Raw genomic sequence first — 20122 nt, 5'->3', positions numbered from 1 at the left:
TTTTCAAGTATTAAGTAATGTGATGCATGCAAAATATTTAATATAGGCTGGGTGCGGTAGCTCACACCGGTAATCCCAGCACTCTGGGAGGCTGAGGCGAGCGGATTGCTTGAGCCCAGGAGTTTGAGACCAGCTTGGGCAATAGGGCGAAATCCTGTCTCTCCAAAAAAAAAAGAAATACAAAAGTCAGCTGGACATGGTGGTGGTGTGTGCCTGTAGTCCCAGCTACTCAGGAGGCTGAGGTGGGAGGATGAATTGAGCCTGGGAGGTCAAGGCTGCAGTGAGCTGGGCTTGTGCTACTGCACTCCAGCCTGGACGACATGGTGAGAACCTGTCTCAAAAAAAAAAAAGAAAAAGAAAAAGAAAAAACCCCAAAAACTTGGTGTAGTCTCCGGCACACAGCAGAAACTCAGTTACTATTACTTAATAATGTGCAGCATGTTATCATAGAGTGATGTGATCCACCGCACCTGACCCATTATCCCCAACTTTGACGACTGGATAATTCTCAAGGCCGTAATCTGGCTGGGATTCGGTCCTTGTAATCTTGACCAAGCTTTGGTTGAGATGTAAGTTTATTTGGGGGCTGAAGAAGGGCCCACAGGTTCTTCTTGTGTTAAAAATCCACTGGGCAGCTTAATAGATCATAGCCTTTATTATTTTATTGTATAATCGCTTTACATATGTGCCTGCTAGTTATGTGGCTTTTTATCTTCCTGGGTTTGTAAGAAATTCAAGTGTATTTATTCCATTGTTTCATCTTCATATTCTGCCTGGTCACCCAGAATAGGAAAAGGGACAGTGGCTGAAGTTGGCAGAAAGTTGTGTCATGAACTTAATTCTTGCATTATCAATAAATTTGGTAGTTCTTGTTAGTTCATGTTAGTAAAAGGGCAGGTAGTGCTTCTGTAGTGACTGAAGTGATTCAGTCTTTTTCCTTTATTTCTCTCACCCCTTAGTAGCCTAAGTACTTTAACTGAGTCTAAGGATAGTATTAAGGCATCTCCTTTAAAAACTGATGGAAACTGTGCCTATCTCTTTTAAGGACTAATGAAAAATATGCCTTAAGTCTATTACACTGTTTAGCAAGATATTTTTAGCAACTCTGGAATGAGTTCCATGCCTGCTTCAGACTCAGTTTCATGAACTATTACACTTTAATTTTAATATATACCTGACTTAAAAATGTAATATATGGTTGCTAACCAATTATTTCTGGAGTTACTCCATTTTTTTTTCTGGAAGTCCATTTGTGAATATTAAAGGATTGCAATTTCCTAGTTTACATTTAAAATATGTGGTTTGCCTGTAATTAGTTAGGGAAACATTTTCCATGGTTCATTAAAATGGAAAGGAGAAATACATTTGACTTAAAAATCTATTTTCATTTATGTTATTAGTATTTTCATCTCTCTGGGTTATATATGTCTTTCATGAAAGAATCTTTGCATCCAACTTAAGTAATTCTAGGAAATCTAAAATACATAGGATAAAGGAATCATCACTTTGGGCATTATATTTATGAGAGATTACGGTGGGAGCCATTTAAGAGAGGATACCCTGCATCGAGTGACCAGCCATCTAAGATTGCAGAGAAAATTGATAAGGAGATTAGGATCAAGAAAAAGAATTCATGGGCTTAATAGGTTCTTTAGATCCTATGCCTTCTGGCAAATGGGTTTTCTAAATTAAGGATGGTATCTTGTCCGTGTGTGTTTCTGGAAGTTCCCACAGTGCTGGGTGCTCAGCTGAGTAAGTGCTTCAAAAATGAAATGAATGGAAGTAAGTTGCCACAGGAGTGATGAGATGAAGCCCTGGGATGCTGAGAGGAAAAACAAAACCAAGGGATTCCAAGATGGGATGAAAACAGCTGAGTGATTGTATATCAGGGAAAGAATGTTAAAATGGAAAGAGGGGGGTGCATTTTCAAGGGTGCTTTTGCGGTACTCTTGCTGATAAATGCTGGGAGGGCAGTTCTTGAGTGATTTACAGCAGCAATAAGATGGCCCATGGTGTTTCTCTGATAAAATTAAGTAACAGTCCTTTCCCAGTACCTGCTAAAAATGAGGTAATGGATGGAATATTCCCCATGTTCTTTTCCTTTAAGCCTTTGGCCCTTGCTATTTTGGGTCAGTACTGAAAACTAACATAAAGTGGTCTCTGCGGAAGTACAGTTATGATCATCGTTTTAAGTTTAGGGAGTCAGTGCTTGACTGAGTTCCACAAAGCTCTCTGGCTCCCCATGCTCAGCTAACAAGTTTGAGAACAGCTGTCCTAGAGTGTTAATGAAACAAAGCTCTCCTGGGACCAGTGAAGAGAGGGTTTCAAGGGAGTTCCTGACAGCCAACCTAGGAATTGTGTCCTGTAAAAGACAGTTATTATGTTGAGCTTGTTGAGTTCCTGGGGCCAGTAGCTTATCTAACGCTGCTATCTATTCAGTATAGAAGAACCCCATTGCTTTATTTACTCACCTTACCTACCTTTTGAAGCAAGCCATCCATGGGGGAGGTTTCTGTTAAGTGGAATTGTGTGAGTGTAACACGAGTGTGTAGACAGCCAGATTCCGGTTGGCAATGGCCAGGAAGGCAAGTGGCTTGTTTTCTTTTGTGAAAATGCCCCTGCCCACGTTTTTTTTTTTTAGACCTTGTTTCTGCTTAAAAGCTTTTTCTTTAACTAGATTATATAAACTATTTTGCTTCTCTTAGCTGATTCAGGCAATTAGATGAGTAATAAAGACTGTCATTTCTGGTCTGCCATAGTGATTTTAAAAGTCTACCTGTTTGGAGAAAAAAATAAATTATGATGATTCATCTTCATATAATCTGGTGCATTTAAAACTTTTAAATTGTTCAGTATATCAATAAGGGACTATATTACATAGGCTCATGGTACATGAGGCCTAGGCGGGGCTGATTGGTAGTATATTTAGACAAGACCAGAAGGCTGGGAATTAAAAATGGGCTCTCTACCTTATAAAATTTATTTTCTTTGAATCAAGCTACACATCTTTAACAGGGTATCAATTGGCATTTCTGGATAAAGAGTTGATACATTTTATTTTAGTTTAATTAGGAGTAATGTGAGGGCCATGTGGCCTGGGGAAGGGGCAGAATGGGAATTCTCTTTTTAGACTAAAGTTTAGTAGAAGGTTCAGATGCTGGAAAGTGATGACTGGTAGGGCATGTTTTGTACATTTAGCAAATTTTTCTCAGACATGGAGGCGGCAGGCTGAAAACTATAGGATCTCAAAAGATAGCAAGACTTAGAATAGAGATGGAAAGAGCCTTTAAACATAGGTTGGAAGTTCAATAAATGTTAGTTTCTCTGTTCTTTTTTTAATACTGCAATAGGAAATGATAATAGTTCTGTATTGTGCTTAAGCGTATGTAGGTGATGGTGCTGTTTCCTGGATCATTAGGCAGGAAAAATTAGCTCCTACAATTCAAATCATTCAGCAAATAATATTAAGTTCATACAGTTATATAAATATCTAAATAAATGAATAGAAAAAATAAACATCTTTGTGCACAATTGTGTGCTGGATGCCATGAAAGCAAAGCAGTATAAGCTGCCAGCCCTCCCTCAAGGAGCTTATGGATTCCTTGGGGCAAATGGACACACAGAAAAACAGTCAACAATGCTGAGCACCCAGGTGCTGCACCTGAATAGTAGCAAAAACAGAGCTCTAAAGAGGAGCGTACCCCAGCAGGAGGAACTTCATGCAGGAGCCGACTCCACAAAACTGGACTTCGAGTCTGGTGGGATTCTGGGAAGCATTGAGGAAGATGGAAGGCTTTTAACATGAAGACTGACGTGACTAAAGGCAGGGTTATGAGTGGCAAGTTCTTCTGACAAGTAGGTCTTGCTAAACTGAAGGAGCTTTGCTGGGAGTTGGAAAGAGAATACTGGAAATCTGTTGGAGGCAGACTGTGGTGAGCTGAGGGGGCATGGATTAACTCGGATAAGCAATAAGGGATCCTCTATAAGTCAAAGGGGTGATTTAGGGAGATTTGCTTAGTTGTGGTTTGAAGGATGGCCTAAAGGGGATGTGACCTAGAGAGCAGGAAAATCCACTGGGAAGCTGAAGCAGGTAGTTGAGTGTATAGTGATGAAGGCCTGAGTTAGGGTGAGGAAAAGGAAAGGAGAAATGGAATCCAAAACACATCAAGAATAAAGTGACTGGTCCAAGAAAATCCCAGTCTTTCTACTGTACTTCTCTTGGGAGCCATTGAAGTGGAATATCCTGTCCTGTTGTTACAAATGTTGACCAGATATTTACATTGAGTGAAAATAAGGATGCTAAGCCCTTAGGGACCATGATTTGAGATTTAAGCTCATTTTTTTTTTTTTTTTCATAGCAGAGGCCTGCCCTGGCCACTGTTGCTTATGTTTTCATTTTTTGGTACAAAAGTTTATTTGGTTCTAACTATTTTTTTTTTCTTTGTTTAAAATAGACTCTATCAAGAAGAATATCTAATCCGTACCTTGAACATACGCCTTCCCAGGTATGATTCCTTTCTCTTTTACTGCCTTTTCTGAAATAGTGATTGACAAATTCTGATGTACAATTATCAAGTTACAGTTGTTCCCTTTGCTCCTGACCACATAGAGTTTTGCAGGGATGCTGCAGTGATCACATTATCTTCACCACCTGGGATGACACAGCAAAAGTGTTTGAGATGCTCTGATCATTGTCATGATTCAAGATGTTCACGAACTAGGGAAAAAAATTATTTTCCCATCTTCCAGGTTCTTTACATGAATGAATTAATGTGGCAGAGCATGTATATAATATAAATACGATATAAATATAATATAGCTATTGTTAAAAACACTGTATTTTACAAATAGCATATATTTTACACTGAGTTTTGTGTAAAAGGAGATTTACTTCCTTGTTATTTATCATTGTGTTGCAGTAAAGAATCAGTCAATAAAGAGTTGCATTTTTTGGCTGGGCATGGTGGCTCACGCCTGTAATCCCTGCACTTTGGGAGGCTGAGGTGGGCAGATCACGAGGTCAGGAGATTGAGACCATCCTGGCCAACACGGTGAAACCCCATCTCTACTGAAAATACAAAAAATTAGCCGGGCGTGGTGGTGGGCACCTGTAGTCCCAGCTACTTGGGAAGCTGAGGCAGGAGAATGGCGTGAACCCAGGAGGCGGAGCTTGCAGTGAGCTGAGATCGCACCACTGCACTCCAGCCTGGGCAACAGAGCAAGACTCCATCTCAAAAAAAAAAAAAAAAGAAAAAAAAAGTTGCATTTTTTAGGCTAACAGGAGACTGTGAGCTTTGTGAGGGCTGGGACCTTCTCTACCTTCTCCACCGCTGTATCCCCACCATCAGGAATAGATCTGACACTTGACAGTTGCTCATTATGTACTTTTTGAATGACTGAGTGAATGAACATTGTATGCTTTCAGGACTAGTCAAGTGTCAGCTTACTCACACCGCTTCCTCGGTAATACTTTCTGTCATCTGGCTTGTTGAAGCTTTGTTTTTTTTTTTTTTTTAAATAGTTTTAACATGTTAAAAAATAATTTGCTTCCCTTCCTACTTCCTTATCAGCTTGTATTTAGGAGATGATATCAGGAAAATTAAAGAAGTATAAGGATGGGGTTGATGTTCCTGGTCAAATCATAATCATTATATTATCAATTTGTTTGCCTTGAGAGAAGATGTCAAATTTTTCGGCCAGGTGCAGTTGCTCACACCTGTAATTCCAGCTCTTTGGAAGGCTGAGGTGGGCAGATTGTGTGAGCCCAGGAGTTCAAGACCAGCCTGAGCAGCACAGGGAGACCTGTCTCTACAAAAAAAAACAAAAAACAAATATTAGCTGGGCTTGATGGTGTGTGCTTGTAGTTCCAGCTACTTAGGAGGCTGAGGTGGGAGGATCGACTGAGCTTGGGAAGCCTAGGCTGCAGTGAGCCATGATCTTTCCACTGAACTCCAGCTTGGGTGACACAGCAAGACCCTGCCTCAAAAAAAAAAAAAAAAAAATATATATATATATATATATATATATATATGTCTATGTATACATACACGTGTGTATATGTATATATGTGTGTGTATGTATATATATATATAGTAGATACACATTTAATCTATCTATCTATCTATCTATCTATCTATCTATATAGTAGATACATAAAAAATTTACTAAGAAAAAAGTAAAACTATGTAGGCATGTACCCCCAGTAATATATTAATTTTCATAAACCTTATGAAGACAGCTTATTTTCATTTAGCCCCCTTTGCTTGTGAAACAGCATTGTGCTTTGGGGGAAGGTGCTGGTTATAGAGAAGGAGGTAGTATTATAAAGTAGGACCTAGCCCCCTCTAGATCTAAGAACTACCCTTCTTCATCCTCCAAGAACCAGAGACTCATATGGGGGAATTAGAATATTTAAAAAAATAAGTTAAATGAAATTTTTATCTGATAGTTGGAATTATGAAGTAGATGAAACCGGATGCTTGGAATTGACTTTGAACTCTGCAGTTGAATGAAGCTTAAGAGTAAAGCAGCCTGCTGTCAAATTGTGTCATGGTTCGAGATGTTCACTAGATAGGGAAGAAAATTGTTTTTCCATCTTCCAAGACCTGTGTATGTTTGCATTATCAATATGCAGACTTAATGCATAATATAAAGTCTTCAATTTGCTGTATTGATATAAATATTATATTTAAAAAATAGTGGATGTTTTACACTGAAAACTTTGTGTAAAAGAAAATTATTTATAACTGTAGTTAAATAAAGCAGGTTAGCATTTGGAGAATAGTTACAGCTTAGCAGCATAAGTGGACCAGTAGCTAAAATAAAGTAAGATAGTTGTAGGTTTATAGCTGTATTGGCTAAAATATGTCTCAACCTTATGGACTTGGTTATGATTTTATATATAAATATATGAATATATATAAATATATATATATATATATATAGTATGCTATTGGTAGTTCACAAATTGTCACATTATTGTTCTATATTTACAGTGACTGTCTTTTCCATTTAGATTTATGGAGAGAATTCTTCTTGTGCAGGAAGAGCATTGAGGAATATTATTATCGTTCAAGCAGCTGACCTGATAAAGGACAGAGTGAACCTCAAGGGGTTTTACAGGTAACACAGTTTTCTAACACCTTGTCAGAAATTCTCTTTGAGGAAAAAAAACCACCCTGTGTTAAAATTGTAACCTTGATCAAAGAGAGGTGGACAATATCAGTAGTAGGAGGGTTTGTTTGTTCTATTGGGGAAACTGATGGTGACTTTTCATTAAACTTAGTCATGCATTTGTTTACAGTTTGACTCCTGTTCTGAAGTTAGGGTATGGAATTTCCAGCCCCAAGTGTGGATGGGCTCCTGAGAGAGTCTCTGCTCTGCTTCCTCTGAGATGTGATATTTTGCAGCGGGTGAGGGGGTGGTGCTACATTAGGGTCTTTAATAAATATAGATCCCCTCTTTAGGGGCCTTATTGAGGCCCTGAAAGGATGTCTTGGGCAGAGACATGCTCTAACTCTCCAGGTGAGAGTGGGCCTCCTCCTTGAGTGCATAAGGAGCAGGGAGAGACAGGTTGGCATAGGGATGGCAGGTGTCTACCTTGACAGAGATATGAGAGTAAACAGGTAGGTAAATGGCCAGTTTTAAAGTACAGCTGGACCAAGGGCATGGTCACTTAGAAAACTTGATGTGCATGTTTTCATTTTATGGAACAATTTAAAGAAAAAACCAAAAGTAAATTATTAGCTTTTTGTTTTGCCAGATAAAGATATTAAGCCACACCAAATGATACCAAAACTATGAAAGAAAACAAAAAGAAAAACCACTACCATTTGTTATCACTATTCTATTTCAAAGAAATGACGTGCAATACCCATCAAGAGTAAGAAGAGGACTCAGGATTCATGACACCCAAAAAGTAGGAAGTTCTCAGAATAAAGGATATTCCTTTATGTTAAATAAACTTAGCTTTATGATAAACTCATTATAATATTTCTGTTTTTTCTGTTTGCTGGAGATGGAAAAAATTTTATCATGGCTTGGGTTTTTGGGATAGTAATTCCCAGACTATCAGAGTGAGACCACCGACCCCCTTTGTACTGAGGCATAATTTTTCTATAGTAAAATGCGCAAATCTTAAATGTACACCTTGAACTTTTATTTATTACACACCTGTGTAATCATTATCCATTTAGCCACTATCCAGATATAGTGGATTTTCATACCTCAGAAGGTTCCTTCCTGCTTCTCTTCAGCCAGTAACCATTCCCTGCAACCATTTTTTTAACATCACAAAATTGGCAGAATCTATATTCTTCTGAGCCATTAATTGAGCAAATCCATAGTGTGGTGAGAAACCCCAGTGAATTAACACTTTAATTAAGCACATTTAATCAATCACATTAACATTTACATAGGTTTTGAAAAATATGCCATAGGCTAGACATGCGTATTCTGTTTACAAACAATGCCTTTGTGTGTATGGACTCACGGAGCTCTTTAAAAAGCTCCAAGATCTGCTGTTTTCCTCCCATTAGGGATTCATTCATAGCCCAAGGTCTGAGAACCATGAGGTTAGAGCCCAGACCAAGTAGACAGGACAGGGAGTAAAAGGGCTGTGGTGGTTGGACTACTTCACATAGAAACTCACTTTAAAAAATAAATGATGGCATCACCTTTAGAAACATCTGACTTCTCCTTTTTAAAAAAACTAAATTTATATGTGTAAGTCTTTGAGTAGAGTCGTGAGCAAGCTCACAGTATTCATTTTATTTACATGAGGCCATGTGTAACATCAATCATTATTCTCATTTTTTCCTCCTTTATTGGATCTCCATGGATAGAGATTGAAAAAGGATTGGGAGATGAACATTAATCAGGTTCATGGAAAAAAATCCATCTATCCAAATTAGAACAGATTTAGGGTTTAACGGGAATAGAATGGGGAGAGAGCATGTGTTTTCCTGTGATCTGGCCAGGACCACCATTCTTTTCTAATCTAAGGACTCATTAATATTCTGGGTTTAAACATGAAGTGCTCATGTGATTACCTAGGGATGAATCATTTTCATTTTTCTGGTAGTAAATTGAGGTAAAGTATTCCCCACATACCACGTGAGAACTCACTTTCAAAACTTTGAAATGCTTTCTATTCACTTTATACTGTAGGAAGAATCACACTGGTTTCTGAGACGTCATTTCTTTGCATGAATACGTCACTAAAATACCATCACCTGATTTATTTTAAAGATTATTGTAGCATTACTATGAATTAATTGCTAAAAATCTAACTAGAGACAGGAGGATGCTAAGATAAATCAAATTTTCAACTCTGGAGATTGGGTAAATTCATGTTTTGTTAAGCAGTCACATGGGCTTTGAGCTGATCACCTCCATATCACATTATTCCTACCTAGTATTGAAACTGGAGTCAGATCTGCATGTACTTGGAGCAGTTTCTGGATTGAGTACAAGACTGAAAATACACTGTGGGTAGGAACTGCTGTCTGTGTTTAGATTGTTCTGTTCCAACCATCTCTCTTTTCTTCCTCACTGCTCTCCCCTAAGTCCTGTGGATTTAGGTATTTTAACCATATTGTAGCAGACATGGGGACAAGGCATTAAATGCAGAGACAACACCACCTCATTTTGTATGCTTTGGTGATATTAATGATAGTGTTTACTTTTACTCCCATGTTTGCCCTGGGGTAGGTGGATCCTTATATGTGATTTAAAACATAACTTGATAAAGTCAGTGGGGGAAATAGAAAGGGATCATATGCAACAGAAATGGTAGTTTGCTCTGAGAGCGGGGCTCAGTTTTTAATTAATATTGTTACGACAGTACTGTGTTCTAGCATATTGAGTCAGAGCCCTGCCTCCCCAAAACAGAGTGAGCTCTTCCCAATGAGAAGGGGGATCTGGGGGATTGGGGCTTTGTGGTCACCAGCATCACCTGAGAGCCTGTTAGGAATGTGGAATCTGGCCAGGCGTGGTGGCTCATGCCTGTAATCCCAGCACTTTGGGAGGCCGAAGCTGGTGGATCACCTGAGGCCAGGAGTTCGAGACCAACCTGGCCAACATGATGAAACCCCAGCTCTACTAAAAATATAAGAATTAGCTGGGCGTGGTGGCAGACGCCTGTAATCCTAGCTACTTGGGGGGCTGAGGCAGGAGAATCGCTTGAACCCGGGAGGCAGAGTTTGCAGTGAGCCGAGATCGCACTATTGCACTCCAGCCTGGGCGACGTGAGTGAAACTCAGTCTCAAAAAAAAAAAAAGGAATGTGGAATCTGAGGTCCCACCCAGTCTTACCGCATCAGAATCTATACTTTAAGAAGATCACCCAGGTGACTCCTAAGCAGAGTTTTGAGAAGCCTTGTTCTAAGAAGCTTCTTCCATATCACCTGTGAACAAACAAGCAGCTGTATCCATCTAGCTACCTTTGCAGTTTGACAGTTTAGTTTGTTTAGTAAATGCTTTATTGTGTTCTTTCATAGTCCAGGTGATGTCAGACACTCAGAGCAGACTGAGGACCTGCATTGTTTTGAGAATATGAATTAAGATGGTACAGTATTTAATCCATGAGATAAAAGTGCTTTCAAAGCCCTGAGATGCTGACTAATTGGCAGAGGTGTTGAGGAATTAATTAGTTAATTAACACTTTGAACCTTTAACATGAAAGATATCCTATAGAATTAGAAGTTAAGTCTTGACTGTTTGGTCTAATTGCCTGTTTTATTGCCATCTGTTTTCTCATTTTCTCTAAAAAAAGAAATCCATATATTTGACTGTTAATCTTTATGCTGTCTTATGCTAACCTGCAACTGAACATGTCTAGAATTGGCTTAATTGCCTTAGAGTATCTGTCAAATAGTGACACTTTACCAAATATATTCTAGCTTTTGATGAAAAGCTGGGATGTTTGATCAAATATCTCAGCAGAAAAGTTTACTACTTTATTTTTCTTCACCCCAGAAAATGTAGCATCCATGGCAGTTCATATTGTTGGTTATGGTGTGATTCTAGGGTATTTGTAACTATGCCAATCACAAGAGACAGCAAAATAGGCAATATTTTTCTACTTTAGAAATACAAATAAATGTCGGCATCTCTTGGTCCTTCAGTACTGCATATAAAGATAGTCATTATATGATACATTATTTTAAAAAAACATTTTGGCCAGGTGCTTGGCTCATACCTGTAATCTCCGCAGTTTGGGCAGCTGAGGCAGGATCACTTGAGCTCAGGAGTTTGAGACCAGTCTGGGCAACATGGCAAAACTCAGTCTCTACAAAAAACAAAAATTAGCCAGTGGTGAGCACCTGTACTCCTAGCTACTCAGGAGGCTTAGGTGGGAGGATCTCTCAAGTCTAGGAGGCAGAGGTCGCAGTAAGCCGAGATTGCACCACAGCACTCCACCCTGGGTGATAGAGTATGACCCTGTCTCAAAAAAAATTTTTTTTCATGATCTTTTCTCATAAGGGAGAGTGAAATTTGATGAAATTTCTGCAAATGACAAAACACTTCAGAAGTTTTTCTTTTTGTTTTCCCCCTGAGGCTCATATGTATCTGAAAAGTAGGCATGATGATACCGCCTGTAATAACCAGGTTATGACATTTTTTTGAATATAGTTGTGTGTTTTAAGACAGATTACAAAAATAATTTTTCATGCGTGGTTAGTGGAATCCAACACATCTGGGTTTATGGTTATGTGACCTGGGCTGCTTAAATAGTTACAATGATTATATTAAAAAGATTAACAATCAAATTTATTGTTCTTGGAGTAAATTTTAGGGTTCAATCTTTGTTTGAAGAATAGCAAACAAACTCTATACAACTGACTGTGGTCCCAATTTTGTCTAATCTTGGAATTATTTTGTTCTCAAAAGGACTAGATAAAAATCTATAAATAATTGAACCAAAGTTTATCACCACCAACTTGAGGTATGTAGCTTACCAAGGTAAAAGCATTATCTCTATATAAAAGGCTGCTAAATTTATTCCTTCGTTTTTCAAACAAATATATTTTGACAACTTACTGTGTATTGTGGACTGTTCTAATTGTTGGGAATTAATAGTGAGTTATATAAAGTTCCTGCTCTCCTGAAAATTATTCTCTAGTGGGATAAGCAGATATTGTTCCTTTGTAAAGATATATACTTACTAAATTTTAGGTGATTTGATGAAAAAGTAGAAGACAATTTGACTCTTGTTTCCCTAAGGAAGTGATATTTGAGCTTTAATCTGAAAGATGAATAAGAGGTATATGCCATTTATTCTTGGGTTGCTTGTCTAAAAAAAGCAAGCACATGAAAGGAAAGGTATTATATATCATTTTTGTTTTTTTGGCAAACGGATGTCAGCAATATCTTACTGTGAATGGCTTTGCTTTTGTTCAGGAGGAGCTGCGTTGGGTCAGAGCTGGTAGACTGGCTTCTAGAACACTGTCCTTTCGTCCAGTGCAGATCTATGGCCATAGGAGTCTGGCAACTCCTACTGGACATGGGAATTATGTTATCAGGTTAGTATTATGTCTTGAAGGCACAGCATCATTATTTTATTAAGCTATCAGATGAAAATACACTTGATTTTCTAGAGGATGTTACAGTCTGGATGGAAATTATTTTTGAAGATAAATATTTGTATTCTCTCTTATTTTCTAAGTGACAGGTCATCTTTTGATTCACTTATTTCTCTTACAATTCTTGCAAAAATTATTAGATACTTGCTGATTCATAGACTAATATTACCTGTAGGAGTCCTTCCTCTACTTCCTTTCTTCTGAACTCAATATGCTGCTTACAAACTTTTTTCAAAATCAGTGACATCTTTAGTTGCTCTAAGTGTGTGATTTATCTTGTAGTTAGGATAATCATCAGAAACTGATTTTATGAGTGGGATGTTATGCCATTTTAATTGACTAAGTAATCATGAACACTTTGATATATGACCTATGAAAATTAGCTGTTTAGACTGAACAGAAAGTAGATGTTAACTGGCAACTAAAATAGGTGATGGATATCTCTTTTCTTAGTTGAGCCCAGAGAACTGAAGGATTAGAAACCGAGCAATCTGGATTATTTATTTAGCCCAGTCTCTCAGCTGCTAGTTGGTCACTGAAAAGCACTTTTTTCCTATAGGTAATAAATATCAAGGGCATACCCCTGGTCCTGTTGTGAAAGAATGGTACAGATATGGACGTGGGTGTAATCTTCTTAGATAGTCAATAGTACCTAGCACCGAATACTCTTATTTATAAAATTAGTTAACTACCTTTGAAGAATGGAGGTATTATTAGGATACTTGATAGTTTCAGGCTTTTGGTTAGCAAAACATTTTGTACTAATACCTTTTGGAAAAATCTCTAGCTCTTGATTCCTTTAAAACAGGGTTTCCCCACCTTGGTAGTATTGACATTTGGGTTAGATAGTTCTTTGTTGTGACGGGCTGTCCCGTACATTGTAGGGTTTTTTTTAACAGCATCCCTTTTTTCTACCCTCCAATACTAGTAGCGCTCTGCCCCCAAAATGTAACAACCAAAAATGTCTAGACGTCACCAAATGTCCCCTGGGGGAGGCACAGTCACCCTAAGTTGAGAATCATTGATCTAAAACTTGCCATTATGTTGTATTTCTGTATTACTAAATTAATTAAATATACTAATTTGCTTTGGGTCACTAAAAAAGATTTCTCCCCATCCTCTTTGAATTGTTATTGATTTTATCTGCACCTGTCTCTGAAGCAGAAAAAATATGAATACATGTGAATATGCTGGCCAGAGCTTCTAGTAGTAAAAATAGACTAGTCAGTAAGTCCTTTCCAATTCAATGGGATTATAAACATGAATGAGCTTAGAATGTATAATTATAGTCTTAACCCTGATTGCTCCCAATTATTAGGGCTTTCAATTTATCATTTGAGTTATTACTCTCTGAGTAATATCTTTTAAAAAATTGATCTATATATTTTTTGTTTCAAACAGTGGACCAGCATCTATACTTTCAAGATACTTATGTTTTCTACCAGTTTTCCTCTGATGAATGTAGCTACTTGTACTGTGAATTTGAAAGAGAAGAAGAATGGCAAAATGGTGTCAAGCTTTTACTGCAACTTGTGCCTCTCATTCCTGCCAGAGGTGGCATCTGTGAACTGTAAGTAGATGCTCTCTTGTGCCATTGTATTCTTACACTTAGACAACATTTACCATGTCTAGGGACTATATTCTGCTCTTTAAGATCACTGTCTCACTTAAGAGGGAGTTACTATCCCCATTTTTCAGATGCACATTTAGAAAGATAAAATAAATTGCAGAAAATTAAATCCAGCTAATAAATAACTGGTATTTAAATCCCAGAAGCCTATGCCTAACCATCTGTACCATGTGGTTTCTAAATTATCATTGTTATAGGAGTAGATGATCTAAATTAAGAAAAAACATATGATTGGGCTTAAGTTGGAATAAAATAGTAACTCCCATCCTATTCGCTATCCAAATCGTGACTTTCCTAAGAGCTCAACAGAATGTTTCTGAAAATAGTCTAGAAGCAACATTTGGCAAATTAAAACACGTGAATCATCACATGAAGATACTGAATCACTATATGATTAAAATGAATTAAAATTAATTAGGGAAGGCTTGGGAACAGGACTTGAGTCATGATGTGGTGATTCTGACATGACTTTGTTTATCCATGGTGATAGCTTATTTTAGAATTATGAGTTATGGATTAAAATTTCAGTTAAAAACTGTTACATATGCAGAACACTTCAGTGTCCAGAATGCTTTCCCATATTGTTGACTCTTTCACTTCTATGATATTAGCGGGGGCAAGCAGTATGGTCTTTATGTCATAGATAAGAAAGTAGGTTCAGAGAGAAATACCTGTATAACCATAACAAGGGTAACTCTTATTAGTTAAAAAAATGACAGTTGACTGTTGAGAAGGAGGTGGAGCAAGATTAGGGAATTGAAGTCTCCACCAATTGTCTCCCAGGCAGTGACCCTAATTTAACAACTATCTACACAGAAAAAAAGACCTTCATAAGAACCAAAAATCAGGTGAGCACTCATAATACCCGGTTATAGTTCCATATTGCTGAAAGGAGCACTGAAGAAATAGAAAAAACAGTACTGAATCACTGATACCACCTCACCTCCACCATTTACACCAGCGTGTACAATAGACACAAATAAAATTAAATACCTAGGAACTAACCAGAGAAGTGAAAGATCTCTGTAATGAAAACTGTAAACACTGATGAAAGAAATCCAAGAGGACACCACAAATGGAAAAAATATTTCATGTTCATGGATTAGAATAATCAATGTTGTTAAAATATCCATATTACCCAAAGCAATCTACAGATTCAATGCAATCCCAACCAAAATACCAATGACATTCTTCCCAGAAATAGAAAAAACAATCCTAAAATTTATATGAAACCACAAAAGATCCGGAATAGCCAAGGCTACCCTAAGCAAAAACAGCAAAACTGGAGGAATCACATTACCTGACTTCAAATTATGCTACAGAGCTATAGTAACCCAAACAGCATGGTAATTGCATGAAAACAGACACATAGACCAATGGAACAGAATGGAGAACCCAGAAACAAACCCACACACCTACAGTGAACTCGTTTTCAACAAGGTGCCAAGACATGCACTGAGGAAGACACAGTCTCTTTAATAAATGGTGCTGGGAGAACTGGCTATCCACATGCAGAAGAATGAAACTAGACCCCTATCTCTCACCATATAAAAAATCTAATCAAAATGATTTAAAGACTTTTAGAGCTCAAACTATGAAACTACAAGATTGGGGAAAATTTTCAGGAAATTGATCTGGGTAAAAATTTCTTGAGCAATACTCCACAAGCACAGGCAACTAATGCAAAAATGGACAAATGGGATCACATTAAGTTGAAGATCTTCCTGCACAGCAAGGATACAATGAACAAATTGAAGAGACAACCCACAGAATGGGAGAAAATATTTGTAAGCTACCCATCTGGCAAGGGATTAATAACCAGAATATATAAGGAACTCAACTCTATAGGAAAAAATCTAATGATTCAATTTAAAAATGGGCAAAAGATCTGAATAGACAGTTTCTCAAAAAAAGACATACAAATGACAAACAGGTTTATGAAAAGGTGTTCAGCACCACTGATCATCAGAGAAATGCAAATCAAAACTACAGTGAGATATCATTTCACCCCAGTTAAAATGGCTTATATTCAAAAGACAATGGCTTATGTTCAAAAGACAGCAATTACAAATGCTGAGGAGGATGCAGAGAAAAGGGAACCCTTGTACACTGTTGGTGGGAATGTAAATTAGTACAACCATTATGGAGAACAGTTTGAAGTTTCTCAAAAAAGTAAAAATTGAGCAACCATAGTATCCAGTAATCCCACTGCTGAGTGTATACACAAAAGAAAGATTATATATCAAAAGGATACCTGCTTTCCTATGTTTTTTGCATCACTGTCCACAACAGCTGAGATTTGGAAGCAACCTCTGTGTCTATCAACAGATGAATGGATAAAGAAAACGTGGTACATATACACAATGGAATACTATTCAGCCATAAAAAAGAATGAGAGATAGTCATTTGCAACAACATGGATGGAACTGGAGGGCATTATGTTGAATGACATACGCCAGGCACAGAAAGACAAACATTGCATGTTCTTATCTGTGGGGTCTAAAAATGAAAGCAACTGAACTCATGAACACAGTAGAAGGATGGTTACCAGAGGCTAGGAAGGGTAATTGGGGACTAGTGGGGAGGTGTGGATGGTTAATGGGTACCAAAAAAACGTTAGAAAGAATGAATAAGGCCCACTCTTTGATAGCACAACAGGGTAACTATACCAATAATAACCTAATTGTGCATTTTAAAATAGCTTAAAGAGTGCAATTGGATTTTTTGTAACTCAAAGGATAAATGCTTGAGAGGATAGGTACCCCATTCTCTATGATGTGCTTATTTCACACTGCATGCCTGTATCGAAACATCTCATGTACCCCGTAAATATATATACCTACTCTGTACCCAGAAAGATAAAAAAAGAGAAAAAATAAATAAAATCTCCTGTTAAATGACAATACTGAATAGTTAATATGGACTGTTTTTAGGAGAATAAGCTTCAGAATATTGATGAGACTGTGCTAATAGAAAGGTTGATTGTGGAGAATGAATTTTAGGTCAGGCACTGTGCTGAATGCTTTATATTCATTATTTTACTTTCAGAAGAATGTTATAAGACAGGTACTATTATTATCTCTATTAAATAAGAGGGGAAATTAGGTACAGAGATCGGGTAACCCGTCCAAGGTCACACAAGGATTAAGTGGAGTTTTAGTGTTTGAATCTGTGTGTGTCTGGCTTTAATGACTGTGCTTTTAACACCTGATATTATGTGTCCTTCCCCACAAGTTATGGGGATCATTCTAGGACCCCTTCCTATAAAATTATAAACAGAAGCTATAAAAGTGTTAGACTAAGCTCTGGTGAAATGATTATGGATTTCCCATCACTGCTGTCTATAAAGGGCCTTGCAATAGTAAAGCAGAATTCAGATACCATTCAATTGGTCTCACTCTAGGAAATGTCCTGTATTGTGATATGCTCTTAATATAGGTCAGAAGTGTCCTGAGAAAAGTCAAGGAGCAGTTCAATGAACTTTAACAAGCTTCCTAAAAAGGAGTGGCATGATTTTAAACCAGAGATGGCTGTGGCTAGCAGTGACTGTTTGGGACTGGCGTTCTTCAGCAGCTCCTTTCAGCCTTTCCTGTCCTGCACACAAGATGGAGGTGTGCATAATCCCATGTGCATGCCCAGATTCACTGGGGCATGGGACTGTGGAAATAAACTTGCAAGCTGTCCTCGTGATTTAACTCCACCTCCTTCTCCGCCACTCGGAAAACAAATTGGAATGCCAGTGAAATGACCTTGTTGTAGAGAAACCTTGGGTCTACTCTAATTTCTAAAAATGAAAAATTTTAAAATTTGCAACCTAATAATAACTCCAGATTACTTGCAGTCTTTTGTCATACTGATCACTGTAAACACAAATCTTAGGCTCTGGAGTTGAGAATTGCTATATAGCATGCCATGTTTATCAGCAAGTTTTTTCTGTTGGTGTGAATGTGTGCATTTGGGAGTAGTAACTGACTCATACAGCAAAATTGTCATTGGGGAACCTATGGACCTGTCTGTTCTAAAGTACTAAATATATAAAGATAAAATTATTAAACCATTGCAGGTCTCTTCTAGAGAGAGACAGTATATACCTTTTTTTTTTCAATACTACCATCATAAGCCAACTTTTATGTTATGGTAGAATGTTTTTGGCCTAATTTTGGAGATCTAAGCTTTGGCTTATCTAGACTTGGAATATACTGTGATCAGAGAAAAGATGTCCATGGACATTGTCCTCATTCAGTTGCTCTGTCCCAGTACTTTCTATGGTTGCACATGCATGATCCTATCCCATTCTTTTCACCCCTGGCCCACCCCTCTTTACTTCCTCATGCCAGTGTGATACTCTTGCTCTTTCCTCTGCTCTTCTTGCCTTTTTCCAGTCAAATTCTACCCAGCCCTCAAGGGGAAGCCCCAGTCCTGCCTTGACCACAAAACTTCCATGATGTCTCCAGTCCATGTTGCTACTGCTTTCAGTAACTTACTGCTCTTGCATTTTGTATTTAAAAAAATTCCATGCTTCCATGTCATTCTTAGTTCTATGATGCTTTGTTTCTATCCATTTTATTCAAGTGCCCTCTTGATTCTTACATTGTCCATTCATTTGCTGAAAACCCAATTTTGTGTTCCTTTTAATAACCTTTTTGACGTTTAAAGGCTACTGATACCTACCTGTGTGAGCCTATCTACATTAGGCCCCTCTAATTTGCTGTCTTCTAAGTGTCTTCAAAATAATGCAAGGAAACCATTTAATGGCTCTATGTAAACACAATTTTGTTCCATACAAATGCATTTCTAAAAATAGTAAAGGGGATTTTTCTCATTTAAAAAAGAATCTTTAAAGCAGGAGGGGAAATGAAGCTGTTGGAAGTTTTCTAAGCTAGTTTGAAGAAACAGAATTTTATACAAAATAACTTTTATACCCAAACTGAATAGATAATTAGAAAAAAAAAGTGACTGAATCAGTTGTCAAGGGTACTATCTCTGGGGGAAAAAAGAACAGTTATGGTATCTCCTTCCAACAGACAGCCAAATCAAGTTATCCAGAATGTACTGTTTCTAGCTCTTTTATTTTAAGCAGAGAGTTGAGGAAGAATGGGTGAGGAATGATGAAATAACAGCGTAGGAAAAGGCAGTCTAATTATTCCCTTGGGACTGGTAAGATGCTTCTAACACTACCTTGTTTGGGCCTTTAGGCTGTGAGGGAACTTGACTATTTCAATTCAGCTGTGGTTATAGCAGCTCCCAGCTTGCCAGGGGTGGGAGTGGGTAGGGCTTTGAATAGACAGTCTGTAAAGCTTGAATGCATAAAACTGTATCCTACCACTTACACAATAGTTAACATTTATGCTGTGATTAAGATAGAGAGGACTGCTAAAATTTAACTCATATTGCACTCAAATATGGAAAGAAAATGTAGCTTCTTTGTTTTTCTCTAAGTGATCTGATGTTTGTCTACATGAACTGCCATCCTGCAGAATGACCAAAAAAAAAAAAGGCGGGGGTGGGGTGGGGGGAAGAAGCACCCTTTAGTAAAGTTATTCTAATACAGGAATTTAAAAAGTCTCTCTAGTTAACTTTTTAGTGTCTTTTAGTAAAAGAGCCCAGTCTCTGTATTTCTCCCTGTTTCTCAAGGTAGCCTCTGGGTACATGGCGAGTGGTCTGGGCGCCTTGACCTTGGCAGAGGAGGACAGGGGAGGCTCTCCTGTCAGAGTAGGCATTTTTTCATCCTCACTGGTCTTGCGAGTGGATAGGCAGCCAGCTCCTTTGTGCCCCTGAGATATAACTGTTCTTGGCATTCTTTTGGCATCTGCTGTTGGAGCATGAGGCTGGTGTAAGTTGGGTGTCAGCTTGATTAATGCTGGTGGTCCTGCCTGGCTGATTGGCCTTCCTAGATGTCTGTTGGCATT

General features: G+C 37.9%; 1 protein-coding gene across 2 annotated transcripts in view; it reads left to right on the top strand.

Moving 5' to 3' along the window:
- Positions 1 to 20122, top strand: part of RAPGEF5 (Rap guanine nucleotide exchange factor 5) — a 238919-nt gene that overhangs the window by 34663 nt on the left and 184134 nt on the right. Inside the window, exons 2-5 of one of the 2 annotated variants that reach the window (NM_012294.5) lie at positions 4455 to 4505; positions 7016 to 7122; positions 12402 to 12523; positions 13985 to 14153. In NM_012294.5, the coding sequence (NP_036426.4) occupies positions 4455 to 4505; positions 7016 to 7122; positions 12402 to 12523; positions 13985 to 14153 (449 nt within the window). Of the gene's footprint in view, positions 1 to 4454; positions 4506 to 7015; positions 7123 to 7774; positions 7919 to 12401; positions 12524 to 13984; positions 14154 to 20122 lie in introns of those variants that run through there. The other variant, XM_017012837.3, reaches the window with a different exon arrangement.

Source organism: Homo sapiens, chromosome 7 (genome assembly GCF_000001405.40).
Source record: "Homo sapiens chromosome 7, GRCh38.p14 Primary Assembly".
NCBI lineage: Eukaryota > Metazoa > Chordata > Mammalia > Primates > Hominidae > Homo > Homo sapiens.
The sequence above is the reverse complement of the archived record's forward strand: the minus strand, read 5'-3'. Positions and strand labels throughout refer to the sequence as shown.